Raw genomic sequence first — 17,818 nt, 5'->3', positions numbered from 1 at the left:
GGGAGCCCTTTGAGGCCTATGGTAAAAAAGAAAATATGTTCACATAAAAACTAGACAGAAGCTTTCTGGGAAACTTCTTTTTGATGTGTGTATTCATCTCACAGAGTTGAAACTTTCTTTTGATTGAGAAGCTAGGAAACAGTCTTTTTGTACAATCTGCAATGGGATATTTGGGAGCACTTTAAGGCCTGTGGTGAAAAAGGAAATAGGTTCACATGAAAACTAGACAGAATCTTTCTGACAAAATATTTGAGATGCGTGCATTCATCTCACAGACTTGAACCTTTCTTTTGATTGTGCAGTTTTGAAACAATCTTTTTTTTAGATCTGCAGTGATATTTTGAATCCACTTGAAGCCTATGGTTAGAAAGGGAATATCTTCACATAAAAACTAGACAGAAAATTACTGAGAAACTTATTTGTGACGTGTGCATTCATCTAACAGAATTGAAACTTTCTTTTGATTGAGCATTTTGGTAACTGTCTCTTTGTAGAATCTGCAAAGGGATATTTCTCAGAGGTTTGAGGCCTGTGGTGAAAAAGGAAATATCTTCATGCAAAAACTAGATGGAAGCTTTTTGGGAAACTTCTTTGTGATGTGTGTATTCATCTGACAGAGTTGTACCTTTCTTTTCATTGAGCATTTTGGACGGATTCTTTTTTGTGGAATCTGCAAAGGGATATTTGGGAGCCCTTCAAGGACTACAATGAAAAGGGAAATATCTTCACATAAAACTAGACAGAATCTCTCTGAGAAACTTCTTTGTGATGTGTTCATTCATGTCACAGAGTTGAACGTTTCTTTGGATTGACCAGTTTTGAAACTCTTTTTATAAAATCTGCAAAGGGATATTTGGAATCCGTTTGAGGCCTATGGTGAAAAAGCAAATATCATCACATAAAAAAAAGACAGAAGATTTCTGAGAAACTTATTTGTGATATGTGCATTCATCTCTCTGATTTGAACCTTCCTTTGATTGAGCAGTTTGTAACATTCTTTTTGAGGAATCTGCAAAGGTATATTTCTCAGTGGTTTGAGGCCTAAGATGAAAAAGTAAATATCTTCATGTAAAAACTGGAGGGAAGCTTTTTGGGAAACTTCTTTGTGATGTGTGTACTCACCTGACAGAGTTTTACCTTTCTTTTCATTGAGCAGTTTTGACAGATTCTTTTAGTAGAATCTGCAAAGGGATATTTGGGAGCCCTTCGAGGACTACGGTGAAAAGGGAAATATCTTCACACAAAAACTAGACAGAAGCTCTCTGAGAAACTTATTTGAGATGTGTGCATTCATGTCACAGAGATGAACCTTTCTTTTGATTGACAAGTTTTGAAACTGTCTTTTTATAAAATCTGCAAAGGGATATTTGGAATCATTTTGAAGCCTTTGGTGAAAAAGGAAGTATCATCACAAAAACTAGACAGAAGTTTTCTGAGAAACGTCTTTGTGATATATGCATTCATCTCTCAGATTTGAACCTTCCTTTGATTGAGCAGTTTGGAAACATTCTTTTTGAGGAATCCGGAAAGGGATATTTGGGAGTCCTTCGAGGACTATGGTGAAAAAGGAAATATCTTCACATAAAAACTAGGCAGAAGCTTTCTCAGGAACTTCTGTGTGATGTGTGCATTCATGTCACAGAGTTGAAAATTTCTTTTCATTGAGCAGTTTGGAAACAGTTTTTTTCTAGAATCTGCAAAGGTATATTTTGGAGCCTTTCAAGGCATATTTTGAAAAAGGAATTATCTTCACATAAAAACTAGACAGAAATTTTCTGATAAACTTTTTATTGATGTGTGGATTCATCTCACAGAGCTGAAACTATCTTTTGATTGAGCAGTTTGGAAACAGTCTTTTTCTAGAATCTGCAAAGTGATATTTGTGGGTGCTTTCAGGCCTATGCTGAAAAAGAAAATATCATCACATAAAAACTAGACAGAAGCTTTCTCAGAAACATCTTTGTAACCTGTGCATTCATCTCACAGAGTTGAACATTTCTTTTGATTGAGCAGTTTGGAAACGGTTTTTTTCTAGAATCTGCAAAGGGATATTTCAGAGCCCTTCGATGCATATTTTGAGAAAGGAATTATCTTCACATAAAAACTAGACAGAAATATTCTGATAAACTTTTTATTGATGTGTGGATTCATCTCACAGAGCTGAAACTATCTTTTGATTGAGCACTTTGGAAACAGTCTTTTTCTAGAATCTGCAAAGTGATATTTGTGGGCGCTGTCAGGCCTATGCTGAAAAAGGAAATATCTTCATATAAAAACTAGAGAGAAGTTTTTTGAGGAACTTCTTTGTGATGTGTGCTTTCATCTCCCAGAGCTGTACCATTCTTTTGGTTGAGCAGTTTGGAAACCGTTTTTTGTAGAATCTGCAAAGGGATATTTCTGAGCGATTTGAGGCCAATGGAGAAAAAGGAAATATCTTCAAATGAAAACTAGACAGAAGCTTTATGAGAAACTTCTTTGTGATGGGTTTATTCATTTAACAGAGTTGAAACTTTCTTTTGATTGAGCAGTTTGGAGACTGTCTTTTTGTAGAATCTGCAAATAAATATTTGGGATCCCTTTGTGGCCAAAGGTGAAAAAGGGAATATCTTCACATAAAAACTAGACAGAAGCTATCTGAGAAACGACTTTGTGATGTATGCATTCATCTCACAGAGTTGAACCTTTCTTTTTCTTGAGCAGTTTGGAAAAAGTCTTTTGTAGAATCTGCAAAGGGATATTTGAGAGCCCTTTGAGGCATATTTTGAAAAAGGAATTATCTTCACATAAAAGCTAGACAGAAATTTTCTGAGAAACTTTTTTTTGATGTGTGCATTCATCTCACAGAGCGGAAATTTTCTTTTGATTGAGCAGTTTGGAAACAGTCTTTTTGTAGAATCTGCAAACGGATATTTGGGATCCTTTTGAGGCCTAAGGTGAAAAAGGGAATATCTTCATATAAAAACTAGACAGAAGCTTTCTGAGAAATGTCTCTGTGATGCGTGCATTCATCTCACAGAGTTGAACCTGTCTTTTTTTTTGAGAAGTTTGGAAAAAGTCTTTTTGTAGAATCTTCAAAGGGATATTTCTGAGCAGTTTGAGGCTTGTGGTGGAAAAGGAAATATCTACACATAAACACTAGACAGAAACTTTCTGAGAAACTTCTTTGTGATGCGTGCAGTCATCTTACAGAGTTGAACTTTCTTTTGATTGAGCAGTTTTTAAAGTCTTTTGGTAGAATCTGCAAAGGAAATATTTCTGAGTGGTTTGAGGACTATGGTGAAAAAGGAAACATCTTCACATAAAAAACAGACAGAAGCTTTCTGAGAAACTTCTCAGTGATGTGTGCATCCATATCACAAAATTGAACCTTTCTTTTGATTGAGCAGATTCGAAACAGTATTTGTAGCATCTGCAATGGTATATTTGGGAGCCCTTCAAGGTGTATGGTGAAAAAGGAAATATCTTTACATAAAAACTAGACAGAAGCTTTCTGACAAACTTCTTTGTGATGTGTGTATTCATCTCACAGAGTTGAACCTTTCTTTTGATTGAGCAGTTTGGAAACAGTGTTTTTGTAGAATCTGCAAAGAGATCTTTCTGAGCAGTTTGAGGCCTTTGGTGAAAAATGAAATATCTTCATATGAAAACTAGACAGAAGTTTCCTCAGAAACTTCTTTATGATGTGTGCATTCATCTTACAGAGTTGAACGTTTTTTTTGATTGAACAGTTTGGAAACATTCTTTTTGTAGTAACTGCTAAGGGATATTTTCAAGCCCTTTGAGGTCTATGGTGAAAAAGAAAATATCTTCACATAAAAACTAGACAGAAGCTTTCTCATAAACTTCCTTATGAAGTGTGCATTCAACAGACAGAGTTGAATGATTCTTTTGATTCAGCAGTTTGTAAAGAGAGTTTTGGTACAAACAGCAAATGGATATTTCTGAGAGATTTGAGGTATATGATGAAAAAGGAAATATCTTCACATAAAAACTAGACAGAACCTTTCTGAGAAACTACTTTGTGATGTGTGCATTCATCTCACAGAGTTGAACTTTCTTTTCTTGATCAGTTTGGAAATAGCCTTTTGGTAGAATCTGCAAAGGAATGTTTCTGAGCAGTTTGAGTCCTGTTGTCAAAAAGGAAATATCTTCACATAAAAAGTAAACAGAAACGTTCTGAGAAACTTCTTTGTGATGTGTGCATCCATCTAACGGAATTGAACCTTACCTTTCATTGAGGATTTTGGAAACACTCTTTTGGTAGAATCTGCAAAGGGATATTTGTGAGCCCTTTGAGGCCTGTGGTGAAAAAGAAAATATCTTCACATAAAAACTAGTCAGAATCTTTCTCAGTAACTTCTTTGTGATGTGTGCATTCATCACACACAGTCATAACATTTTTTTGATAGAGCAGTTTGGAAAGAGTTTTTTTTGTAGAAACTGCAAGGGGATATTTCTGAGTGGCTTGAGGGCAACTGTGAAAAACAAAATATCTTCACAATCTGCAAAGCGATATTTGGAGCCCTTCGAGTCCTATGGTGAAAAAGGAAATATTTTCTCATAAAACTAGACAGAAACCTTCCGAGGAACTTCTGTGTGATGTGTGCTTTCATCTCAGAGAGTTAAACCTTTCTTTTGATTGAGTAGTTTGGAAACCGTCTTTTTTCAGAATCTGAAAAGAGATATATCTCAGTGATTTGAGGCCTATAGTGAAAAAGGAAATATTTTCAAATTAAAACTAGACAGATTTCTGAGAAACTTCTTTGTGATGAGCGAATTCATCTCACAGAGTTCAAACTTTCTTTTGATTGAGCAGCTTGGAAACACTTTTATCAGAAAGGTTAGCCATTCTTTTGATTGGAGAAAAAGGGAATATCTTCACATAAAAACTAGACAGAAGCTTTCTGAGAAACTTCTTTGTGATGTGTGCATTCGTCTCACGGAGTTGAACCTTTCTTTTCATTGAGTAATTAGGAAACAGTCTTTGTGTAGAATCTGCAAAGGGATATTTGGGAGATCTCTGAGGCCTATGGTGACAAAGGGAATATCTACACATAAAAACTAGACAGAAGGTTTCTGAGAAACTTCTTTCTCAGAAATGATGAGTTCATTCACCTCACAGTGGTGAACCTTTCTTTTGATTCAGCTGTGTGGAAACAGTCTTTTTCTAGGATCTGCAAAGAGATATTTCTGAGTGGTTTCACTCAAACAGTGAAAAAAGAAATTTCTTCACCTAAAAAGTGGACAGAATCTTTCTGAGAAACTTCTTTGATATGTGTGCATTATTCTCAGAGAGTTTGAACCTTTCTTTTGATTGGGTAATTTGGAAACAGTCTTTTTACAGAATCTGCAAAGGGATATTTCTGTACGGATTTAGGCCTATGATGAAAAAATAATTATCTTCACATAAAAAGTAGACAGAATCTTTCTGAGAAGCTTCTTTGTGATGTGGGCATTCATCTCATAGAGTTAAAACTTTCTTTTGATTCAGCAGTTTGGAAACAGTCTTTTTATAGAATCTGCAAAGGGATATTTCTTAGCGGATTGAGGCCCATGGTGAAAAAGGTAATATTTTCATATAAAAACTAGACAGAAGCTTTCTGATAAACTTCTTTGTGATGGGTGGATTCACCTCACAGAGTTGAACATTTCTTTTGATTGAGCAGTTTGGAAACCGTCTTTCTGTAGCATCTGCAAAGGGATACTTGTGGGTGCTTTGAGGCCTATGCTGAAAAAGAAAATATCTTCACATAAAGAAAGACTAGACAGAAGCTTTCTGAGAAACTTCTTTGTGATGGGTGCATTCATCTCACATAGATGAACATTTCCTTTGATTGAGCAGTTTGGAAGCAGTCTTTTTGTAACATCTGCAAAGGGATATTTGAGGGTGCTTTGAGGCCTATGGTGAAAAAGGAAATACCTTCACATAAATATTAAACAGAAGGTTCCTGAGAAACTTCCTTCTCAAAAAACTTCCTTTACAAAAAAAAACAGTCTTTTTGTAAAACTGCAAAGGCATATTTCTGAGCATTTTGAGGCCTATGGTGAAAAAGGAAATATTTTCACATAAAAACTAGACAGAATCTTTCTCAGTAACTTCTTTGTGATGTGTGCATTCATCTCACAGAGTTGAAACATTCTCTTCATTGAGCAGTTTGGAAAGAGTCTTTTTGTAGAATCTGCAAGGGGATATTTCTGAGTGGCTTGAGTGCTACTGTGAAAAACAAAATATCTTCACTATCTGCAAAGGGATATTTGGGAGCCCTTTGAGTCCTATGGTGAAAAAGGAAATATCTTCTCATGGAACTAGAGGGAAGATTTCTGAGTAACTTCTTTGTGATGAGTGCATTCATATCACAGAGTTGAACTTTTCTTTTTATTGAGCAGTTTGGAAACAGTCGTTTTGTACAATCTGAAATGGGATATATCTCAGCGATTTGAGGCCTATGGTGAAAAATGAGGTATCTTCAAATTAAAACTAAACAGAAGATTTCTGAGAAACTTCTTTGTGATGTGCGCATTCATCTCACAGAGCTCAAATTTTCTTATGATTGAGGAGCTTGTAAAAAGTATTTTTGTAGAATCTGCAAAGGGGTATTTGAGGGCACTTTGAGGCCTATGGTGAAAAAGGAAATATCTTCATATAAAAATTAGATGGAAGCTTTCTCAGAAACTCCTTTGTGATGTATACATTAATCGCACAGAGCTTAACCTTTCTTTTGATTGGAGAAGAAAGGAATATCTTCACCTAAAAACTAGGCAGAAGCTTTCTGAGAAACTTCTTTGTGATGTGTGCATTCATCTCACAGAGTTGAACATTTCTTTTCATTGAGCAGTTTGGAAACAATCTTTTTGTAGAATCCGCAAAGGGATATTGGGAGGCCTTTGAGGCCTATGTTGAAGAAGGAAAATCTTCACAAAAAAACTATACAGAAGCGTTCTGAGAAGCTGATTTTTTATGTGTGCATTCATCTCATAAAGTTGAGCCTTTCTTTTGACTGAACAGCTTGGAAAGCGTCTTTTTGTAGAATCTGTAAAGGGACATTTGGGAGCCCTTTGAGGCCCATGGTGAAAAAGGAAATATCTTCACATAGAAAACAGAGAGAAACTTTCTGAGAAAGTTCTTTGTGATGCGTGCATTCACCTCACAAAGTTGAGCATGCTTTTGATTGAGCAGTTTGGAAACATTCTTTTTCTAGAATCCGCAAAGGGATATTTCTTAGTGGTTTGAGGCCTGTGGTGAATAACAAAATAACTTCTATTAAAAACTAGACAGAAGCTTTCTGTGAAAATTCTTTGTGATGTTTGCATTCAACTCACCGAGTTGAACCTTTTCTTTGATAGAGCACTTTGAAAATAGTCTTTTTCTAGAATCTGAAAGGGAATATTTTGGAGCCCTTTGAGTCCTAAGGTGAAAAAGGAAATATGATGTTCACATAAAAACTAGATGGAAGCTTTCTGAGAAAATTCTTTGTGATGTGTACGTTCATCTCACAGAGTTGAACATTTGTTTTGATTTAACAGTTTGGTAACAGTCTTTTTGTAGAATCTGCAATGGGATACTTGGGATCACATTTTAGACCCATGTTGAAAAAGGGAATAGGGAATATCTTCACATAAGAACTAGACAGAATATTTCTGGGAAACTTCTTTGTGTTGTGTGCCTTCATTTCACGGAGTTGAACCTTTCTTTTGATTGAACAGTTTGCAAACAGTCTTTTTGTAGAATCTGCAAAGGGATATTTGGAGTCCTTTGAGGCTTATGGTGAAAAAGGAAATATCTTCACATAAAACCTAGACAGAAGCGTTCTGAGGAATTTTTTTCTGATGTGTGCATTCAACTCACAGAGTTGAACTTTTCTTTTGATTGATAATTTTGGAAACAGTCTTTTTCTGGAATCTGCAAAGGGATATTAGGGATGCCTTTGAGTCTTATGGAGAAAAAGGGAATATCTTCTCCTAAAAATTAGACACAAACTTTCTGAGAAACTTCCTTGTGATGTGTGCATTCATCTCACAGAGTTGCATATTTCTTTAGGGCAGCCTTTTGAGGCCTATTTTGAAAAAGGAATTATCTTCACATCAAAACTAGACAGAAATTTTCTGAGAAGGTCTTTGTGATGTGTGAATTCATCTCACAGAGTTGAAACTTTCTTTTGATTGAGCAGTTTGGAAACAGTCTTTTTGCATAATCTGCAAAGGGAAACTTGGGAGCCCTTTGAGGCCTATGGTGAAAAAGGAAATACCTTCACATAAAAACTAGACAGGAACTTTCACAGAAACTTCTTTGTGATGTGTGCATTCACCTCACAGAGTTTGACTTTTCTTTTGATTGAGCAGTTTGGATACAGTCTTTTTGTAGAATCTACAAAGGGATATTTCTGAGTGGTTTGAGGCCTATGGTGAAAAAGGAGCTATCTTCACATAAAAACTAGACAGAAGCTTTCTGAGAAACTTCTTTGTGATGTGTGCATTCATCTCACAGAGTTGAGTCCTTTCTAGAATCTGTAAAGGGATATTTGGCAGCCCTTTGAGTCGTATTTTGAAAAAGGAATTATCTTCACATCAAAACTAGACAGAAATTTTCTGAGAAGCTCTTTTGTGATGTGTGAATTCATCTCGTAAAGTTGAAACTTTCTTTTGATTGAGCAGTTTGGAAACAGTCTTTTCACATAATCTGCAAAGGGAAACTTGGGAGCACTTTGAGGCCTATGGTGAAAAAGGAAATACCTTCACATAAAAACTAGACAGGAACTTTCGTAGAAACTTCTTTGTGATGTGTGCATTCACCTCACAGAGTTTGACCTTTCTTTTGATTGAGCAGTTTGGATACAGTCTTTTTGTAGAATCTACAAAGGGATATTTCTGAGTGGTTTGAGGCCTATGGTGAAAAAGGAACTATCTTCACATAAAAACTAGACAGAAGCTTTCTGAGAAACTTCTTCGTGATGTGTGCCTTCATCTCACAGAGTTGAGCCTTTCTTTTGATTGAGCAGTTTGGAAACAGTCTTTTTGTAGTATCTGTAAAGGGATATTTGGGAGCCCATTGAGACTTAAGGTGAAAAAGGAAATATCTTCACTTAAAAACTAGAACGATGAGTTCTGGGAAACTTCTTTGTGATGTGTGCATTCATCACAGAGAGTTGACACTGTCTTTTGATTGTGAAGTTTGCACACTGTCTTTTTGTAGGTTCTGCAAAGGAATATTTCTGAGGGGTATGAGACCTATGATGAAAAAGGCAATATCTTCATAAAAAATCTAGGCAGAAACTTTCTGAGAAACTTCTTTGTGATGTGTGCATTCATCTGACAGAGTTGAAACTTTCTTTTCATTGAGCAGTTTGGAAACATTCTTTTTGTAGAATCTGCAAAGAGATATTTGAGAGCCCTTCTAGTCCTATGGTGTAAAAGGAAATATCTTCACATAAAAACTAGACAGAAGCTTTCTGAGGAACTTCTTTGTGATCTGTGCATTCACCTCACAGAGTTGAAACTTTCTTTTGATTGAGCAGTTTGGAAACTGTCTTATTGTAGAATCCACAAAGGGACATTTGGGAGCCCTTTGAGGCCTATTTTGAAAAAGGAATTATCTTCACATAAAAGCTACAAAAAACAGAAGATGGCCAAATAGGAACAGCTCTGGTCTACAGCTCCCAGTGTGAGTGATGCATTTCCATCTGAGGTACCAGGTTCATCTCACTAGGGAGTGCCAGTCCATGGGTGCAGGACAGTGGGTGCAGTGCACCGTGCATGAGATGAGACAAAGCAGGGTGAGGCATTGTCTCACTCAGGAAGTGCAAGGGGTCAGGGAGTTCCCTTTCCTAGTCAAAGAAATGGGTGACAGATGACACCAGGAAAATTGGGTCACTCCCACTCTAATACTGTGCTTTTCCATCAAGCATAAAAAGCAGCACACCAGAAGATTATATCCTGCACCTGGCTCAGAGAGTCCTAGGCCCACGGAATCTCCCTGATTTCTAGCACAGCACTCTGAGATCAAACTGCAAGGTGGCAGCAAGGCTGGGGGAGGGGTGCCTGCAACTGCCCGTGCTTGATAGACAAACAAAGCAGCTGGGAAGCTCGAACTGGGTGGAGCCCACCAAAGATCGAGGAAGCCTGCCTGCCTGTGTAGGCTCCACCTCTGGGGCAGGGCACAGACAATCAAAAAGACTGTAGTAACCTCTGCAGACTTAAAGGTCCCTGTCTGACAGATTTGAAGAGATTAGTGATTCTCTTAGCATGCGGCTAGAGATCTGAGAATGGACAGACTGCCTCCTCAAGTAGGTCCTTCACCACGAACTGCTTAACTGGGAGGCACTCCCCAGTAGGGGCAGACTGACACCTCACCCAGCCGGGTACTCCTCTGAGACAAAACTTCCAGACAAAAGGTCAGGCAGCAGCATATGTGGTTCACAAAGACCTGCTGTTCCACAGCCACTGCTGTTCTACAGCCACTGCTGTTCCACAGCCACTGCTCTTCTGCAGGCACCACTGCTGATACCCAGGAAAACAGTGTCTGGAGTGGACCACTAGCCAACTCCAACAGACATGCAGCTGAGGACCCTGTTTGTTAGAAGGAAAACTAACAAACAGAAAGGGCATCCACACTGAAAACCCTTCTGTACGTCACCATCATCAAAGACCAAAAGTAGATAAAACCACAAAGATGGGGAAAAAACAGCAGAAAAACTGGAAACTCTAAAAAGCAGAGTGCTTCCCCTCCTCCAAAGGAACGCAACTCCTCACCAGCAACAGAACAAAGCTGGACTTTTACAAGCTGAGAGAAGAAGGCTTCAGATGATCGAACTACTCTGAGCTACAGGAGGAAATTCAAACCGATGTCAAAGAAGTTAAAAACTTTGAAAAACAATTGGGCGAATGGATAACTAGAACACCCAATGCAGAGAAGTCCTTAAAGGAGCTGATGGAGCTGAAAGCCAAGGCTCAAGAACTACTTGAAGAATGCAGAAGCCTCAGGAGCTGATGCAATCAACTGGAAGAAAGGGTATCAGTGATGGAACACGAAATGAATGAAATGAAGTGAGAAGAGAAGTTTAGAGAAAAAAGAATAAAAAGAAATGAACAAAGCCTCCAAGAAATATGAGACTATGTGAAAAGGCCAAATCTACGTCTGATTGGTGTACCTGAAAGTGACGGGGAGAATGGAACCAATTTGGAAAACACTCTGCAGGTTATTATCCAGGAGAACTTCATTCAGATTCAGGAAATATAGAAAACGCCTCAAAGATACTCCCCAAGAAATACAACACCAAGACACATAATTGTCAAATTCACCAAAGTTGAAATGAAGCAAAAAAAGGTAAGGGCAGTCAGAGAGAAAGTTCGGGTTAGCCACAAAAGGAAGACCATCACACTAACAGCAGATGTCTTGGCAGAAACTCCACAAGCCAGAAGACAGTGGGGGACAATATTCAACATTCTTAAAGAAAAGAATTTTCAACCTAGAATTTCATAGCCAGCCAAACTAAGCTTCATAAGTGAAAGAGAAATAAAATACTTTACAGACAAGCAAACGCTGAGAGAGTTTGTCACCACCAGGCCTGCCCTAAAAGAAATCCTGAAGGAACACTAAACATGGAAAGGAACAACCGGTACCAGCCACTGTGAAAACATGCCAAAATGTAAAGACCATCAAGGCTAGGAAGAAAACTGCATTAAATAACGAGCAAAATAACCAGCTAACATCATAATGACAGGACCAAATACACACATAAAAATATTAACTTTGAATGTAAATGGGCTAAGCGCTCCAATTAAAAGACACAGACTGGCAAATTGGATAAAAAGTCAAGACCTATTAGTGTACTGTATTCAGGAAACCCATCTCACACACTGAGACACACACAGGCTCAAAATGAAAGGATGGAGGAAGATCTACCAAGCCAATGGAAAACAAAAAATGGCAGGGTTTGCAATCCTAGTCTCAGATAAAACAGACTTTAAACCAACAAATGTCAAAAGAAAAAAAGAAGGCAATTACATAATGGTAAAGGGATCAATTCAACAAGAAGAGCTAACTATCCTAAATGTACATGCACTCAATACAGGGGCACCAAGATTCATAAAGCGCATCCTTAGTGACCTACAAAGAGACTTAGACTCCCACACAATAATAATGGGAGACTTTAACACCCCACTGTCAACATTACATAGATCAAAAAGACAGAAAGTTAACAAGGATATCCAGGAATTGAACTCAGCTCTGCACCAAGCAGACCTAATAGAAATCTACAGAACTCTCCAACCCAAATCAACAGAATATACATTTTCTTCAGCACCACACCACACTTATTCCAAAATTGACCACATAGTTCGAAGTAAAGCTCTCCTCAGCAAATGTAAAAGAACAGAAATTATAACAAACTGTCTCTCAGACCACAGTACAATCAAACTGGAACTCAGGATTAAGAAACTCACTCAAAACCACTCAACTACAAGGAAACTGAACAACCTGCTCCTGAATGACTACTGGGTACACAACGAAATGAAGGCAGAAATAAAGATGTGCTTTGAAACCAACGAGAAAAAAGACACAACATACCAGAATCTCAGGGACACAGTCAAAGCAGTGTGTAGAGGGAAATTTATAGCACTAAATGCCCACAAGAGAAAGCAGGAAAGATCTAAAATTGACACACTAGCATCACAATTAAAAGAACTAGAGAAGCAAGAGCAAACACATTCAAAAGCTGGCAGAAGGCAAGAAATAACTAAAATTAGAGCAGAACTGAAGGAAACAGAGACACAAAAAACCCTTCAAAAAATTAATGAATCCAGAAGCTGGTTTTTTGAAAGGATAAAAAAAAAAAAAGATAGACCGCTAGCAAGACTAATAAAGAAGAAAAGAGAGAAGAATCAAATAGACACAATAAAAAAAGAGAAAGGGGATATCACCACCGATCCCACAGAAATACAAACTACCATCAGAGAATATTATAAACACCTCTATGCAAATAAACTAGAAAACCTAGAAGAAATGGATAAATTCCTCGACACGTACAACCTCCCAAGACTAAACCAGGAAGAAGTTGAATCTCTGAATAGACAAATAACAGGCTCTGAAATTGAGGCAATAATCAAAAGCTTACCAAACAAAATGTCCAGGACCAGATGAAATCACAGCCGAATTTTACCAGAGGTACAAGGAGGAGCTGGTATCATTCCTTCTGAAACTATTCCAATCAATAGAAAAAGAGGGAATCCTCCCTAACTCATTTTATGAGGCCAGCATCATCCTGATACCAAAGCCTGGCAGACACAACAAAAAAGAGAATTTTAGACCAATATCCTTGACGAACATTGATGCAAAAATCCTCAATAAAATACTGGCAAAACGAATCCAGCAGCACATCAAAAAGCTTATCCACCATGATCAAGTGGGCTTCATCCCTGGGATGTAAGCTCGTTCAACATATGCAAATCAATAAACATAATCCAGCATATAAACAGAACCTATGACAAAAAAATACATGATTATCTCAATAGATGCAGAAAAGGCCTTTGACAAAATTCAACAACGTTTCATGCTAAAAACTCTCAATAAATTAGGTATCGATGGGACATATTTCAAAATAATAAGAGCTATCTATTACAAACCCACTGCCAATATCACACTGAATGGGCAAAAACTGGAAGCATTCCCTTTGAAAACTGGCACAAGACAGGGATGCCCTCTCTCACCACTCCTATTCAACATAGTGTTGGAAGTTCTGGCCAGGGCTATTAGGCAGGAGAAGGAAATAAAGGGTATTCAGTTATGAAAAGAGGAAGTCAAATTGTCCTTGTTTGCAGATGACATGATTATATATCTAGAAAACCCCACTGTCTCAGCCCAAAATCTCCTTAAGCTGATAAGCAATTTCAGCAAAGTCTCAGGATACAAAATCAATGTACAAAAATCACAAGCATTCTTATGCATCAATAACAGACAAACAGAGAGCCAAATCACGAGTGAACTCCCATTCACAATTGCTTCAAAGAGAATAAAATACCTAGGAATCCAACTTACAAGGGATGTGAAGGACCTCTTCAAGGACAACTACAAACCACTGCTCAATGAAATAAAAGAGGATACAAACAAATGGAAGAACATTCCATGCTCATGGGCAGGAAGAATCAGTATCATGAAAATGGACATACTGTTCAAGGTAATTTATAGATTCAATGCCATCCCCATCAAGCTACCAATGACTTTCTTCACAGAATTGGAAAAAACTACTTTAAAGTTAATATGGAGCCAAAAAAGAGCCCGCATCACCAAGTCAATCCTAAGCCAAAAGAACAAAGCTGGAGGCATCACGCTACCTGACTTCAAACTATCCTACAAGGCTACAGTAACCAAAACAGCATGGTACTGATAGAAAACAGAGATATAGATCAATGGAGTACACCAGAGCCCTCAGAAATAATGCCACATATCTACAACCATCTGATCTTTGACAAACCTGACAAAAACAAGCAATGGGGAAAGGATTCCCTATTTAATAAATGGTGCTGGGAAAATGGTCTAGCCATATGTAGAAAGCTGAAACTGGATCCCTTCCTTACACCTTATACAAAAATTAATTCAAGATGGATTAAAGACTTACAGATTAGACCTAAAACCATAAAAACCCTAGAAGAAAACCTAGGCATTACCATTCAGGACATAGGCATGGGCAAGGACTTCATTTCTAAAACACTAAAAGCAATGGCAACAAAAGTCAAAATTGACAAATGTGATCCAATTAAACTAAAGAGGTTCAGCACAGCAAAAGAAACTACCATCAGAGTGAGAAGGCAACCTACAAAATGGGAGAAAATTTTTACAACCTACTCATCTGACAAAGGGCTAATAGCCAGAATCTACAATGAACACCAACAAATTTACAAGAAAAAAGCAGACAACCCCATCAAAAAGTGGACGAAGGATGTGAACAGATACTTCTCAAAAGAAGACATTTATACAGCCAAAAAACACATTAAAAAATGCTCACCATCACTGGTCATCAGAGAAATGCAAATCAAACCACAATGAGATACCGTCTCACACCAGTTAGAATGGCGATCATTAAAAAGTCAGAAAACAACAGGTGCTGGAGAGGATGTGGAGAAATAGGAATACTTTTACACTGTTGGTGGGACTGTAAACTAGTTCAACCATTTTGGAAGTTGGCGTGGCAATTCCTCAGGGTTCTAGAACTAGAAATACCATTTGATCCAGCCATCCCACTACTGGACATATACCCAAAGGATTATAAATCATGCTGCTATAAAGACACATGCACACATATGATTTATTGCGGCACTATTCACAATAGCAAAGACTTGGAAACAACCCAAATGTCCAACAATGATAGACTGGATTAAGAATATGTGGCACATATACACCATGGAATACTATGCAGACATAAAAAATGAAGATTTCATGTCCTTTGTAGGGACATAGATGAAACTGGAAACCATCATTCTCAGCCAACTATCGCAAGGAGAAAAAGCAAACACTGTGTGTTCTCACTCATAGGGGGGAATTGAACAATGAGAGCACATGGACACAGGAAGGGGAACATCACACACTGGGGCCTGTTGTGGGGTGGGGGAAGGGGGGAGGGATAGCATTAGGAGATATACCTAATGCTAAATGACGAGTTAATGGGTGCAGCACACCAACATGGCACATGTATACATATGTAACTAATCTGCACATTGTGCACATGTACCCTAAAACTTAAAGTATAATAAAATTAAATTTAAAAAGATACCAAAAAAAATAGCTGGGCATGGTTACCCACAACTATAGTCCTAACTACTTGGGAGGCTGAGGTGGGAGGATTACTTGAGCCGAATATGTTGAGGCTTCACTGAGCTAAGATCTCACCATTGCCCTTCAGCCTGGGCAAGAGAGACACATCTCTGGTTTAGAATTGCTTGGTGACAATTTTTTTTTCAAGCTCCTATTTCCTTCTCCTATGTGAATACAAATGCTATTTTATCCTCCTACTGAAATTCTTTCCACATTTTGCTGTTATCTTCAAAACTCCTGTTGTGGTTTCCGGGTCAAGGTCAGAGGCCATCTTTGTTGTTAGCCTTTCATGGTCTGTTCAGTATGAAACTCTTCTGATTTATTCCTTGTGAGCTTTTCTAGCCTTTCAGTGATAATTATAATATGACCCCTGTGTGGTGATAATTTATATGTGCATCCCACTCTTTGGGCCATAATCACTTTGAATTCAGAAATCATATCTCATACAGAAAAAGTGATCAATAAAATTTGGTGGAATGAAAAAAAACTACAAAAAAGTCTTTTTGCAGAATTTGAAAAGGGATATTTGGGAGTCCTTCGAGGTCTATGGTGAAAAACGAAACATCTTCACATAAAAACTAGACAGAAATATTCTTAGAACATCTTTTGTTATGTGTGTATTCATGTCACAGATTGGAAACTTTCTTTTCATGGAGCAGTTTAGAAACAGTCTTTTTGTAGAATCTGCAAAGGGATATTTGGTAGCCCTTCGAGGCCTACGGTGAAAAGGAAATATCTTCACATAAAAACTAGACAGAAACTTTTCGAGGAACTTCTGTGTGATCTGTGCATTCATCTCACAGAATTTAAATTTTCTTTTGATTGAGCAGTTTGGAAACAGTCATTTTGTAGAATCGGCAAAGGGACATTTGAGGTCGCCTTGAGGTCTATGGTGAAAAGAATTATCTTCACGTAAAAACTAGACAGAAGATTTCTCAGAAACTTCTTTGTGATGCATGCATTCATTTGACACAGTTGAACCTTTCTTTGATTGAGGAGTTTGGAAATAGTATTTTTCTAGAATCCGCAAGAGGATATTTCTGAGCCTTTTGAGGCCTGTGGTGAAAAAGGAAATATCTTCACAAAAAAACTAGGCAGAAGCTTTCTGAGGAACTTCTTTTGATGTGTGCATTCATCTCACGGTGTTGAAACTTTCTTTTGATTAAGAAGTTTGGAAACAGTGTTTTGTAGAATCTTCAAATGGATATTTAGGAGCCCTTCGATTCCTATCATGAAAAAGGAAACATCTTCACACAAAAACTAGACACAAGTATTCTGAGGAACTTCTTTGTGATGTGTATATCCATTTCACAGAGTTGAACCTTTCTTTTGATTCAGCAGTTTGGAAACAGTCTTTTTGTAAAATCTGCAAAGGGATATTTGGGATCCCTTTGAGGCCCATGGTAAAAAAACAAATATCTTCATATAAAAATTAGACAGAAGCTTTCTGAAAAACGTCTTTGTGATGTGTGCATTCATCTCAGAGAGATGAAAATTTCTTTTGATTGAGCAGTTTAGAAACAGTCTTTTTGTAGAATCTGCAAACGGATATTTCTAAGCCGTTTGAGGCCTATGATGAAAAAGGAAATATCTTCACATAAAAAGTAGACAGAAGCTTTCTGAGAAACTTTTTTGTGATGTGCACATTTATCTCACAGAGTTGAACATTTCTATTGATTGAGTAGTTTGGAAACAGTCTTTTTGTAGAATCTGCAAAGGGATATTTCTGAGCAGTTTGAAGCCAATGGTGAAAAAGGAAATATCTTCGCATGAAAACTAGACGGAAGCTTTCTGAGAAACTTCTTTGTGATAAGTGCATTCGTCTCATAGAGTTGAACTTTTCTTTTGATTGAGCAGGTTGGAAAGAGTCCTTTTGTGGAATCTGCAACAGATATCTGGGGGCACTTTGAGGCCTATGGTGAAAAAGAAAATATCTTCACATAAAAACTAGACAGAAGCTTTCTGAGAAACTTCTATGTGATTTGTGCATTCATCTCACAGATTTGAAACTTTCTT

The sequence above is a fragment of the Homo sapiens genome, chromosome 11 (genome assembly GCF_000001405.40).
Source record: "Homo sapiens chromosome 11, GRCh38.p14 Primary Assembly".
Lineage (NCBI taxonomy): Eukaryota > Metazoa > Chordata > Mammalia > Primates > Hominidae > Homo > Homo sapiens.
Note: the sequence above shows the minus strand (reverse complement) of the source record.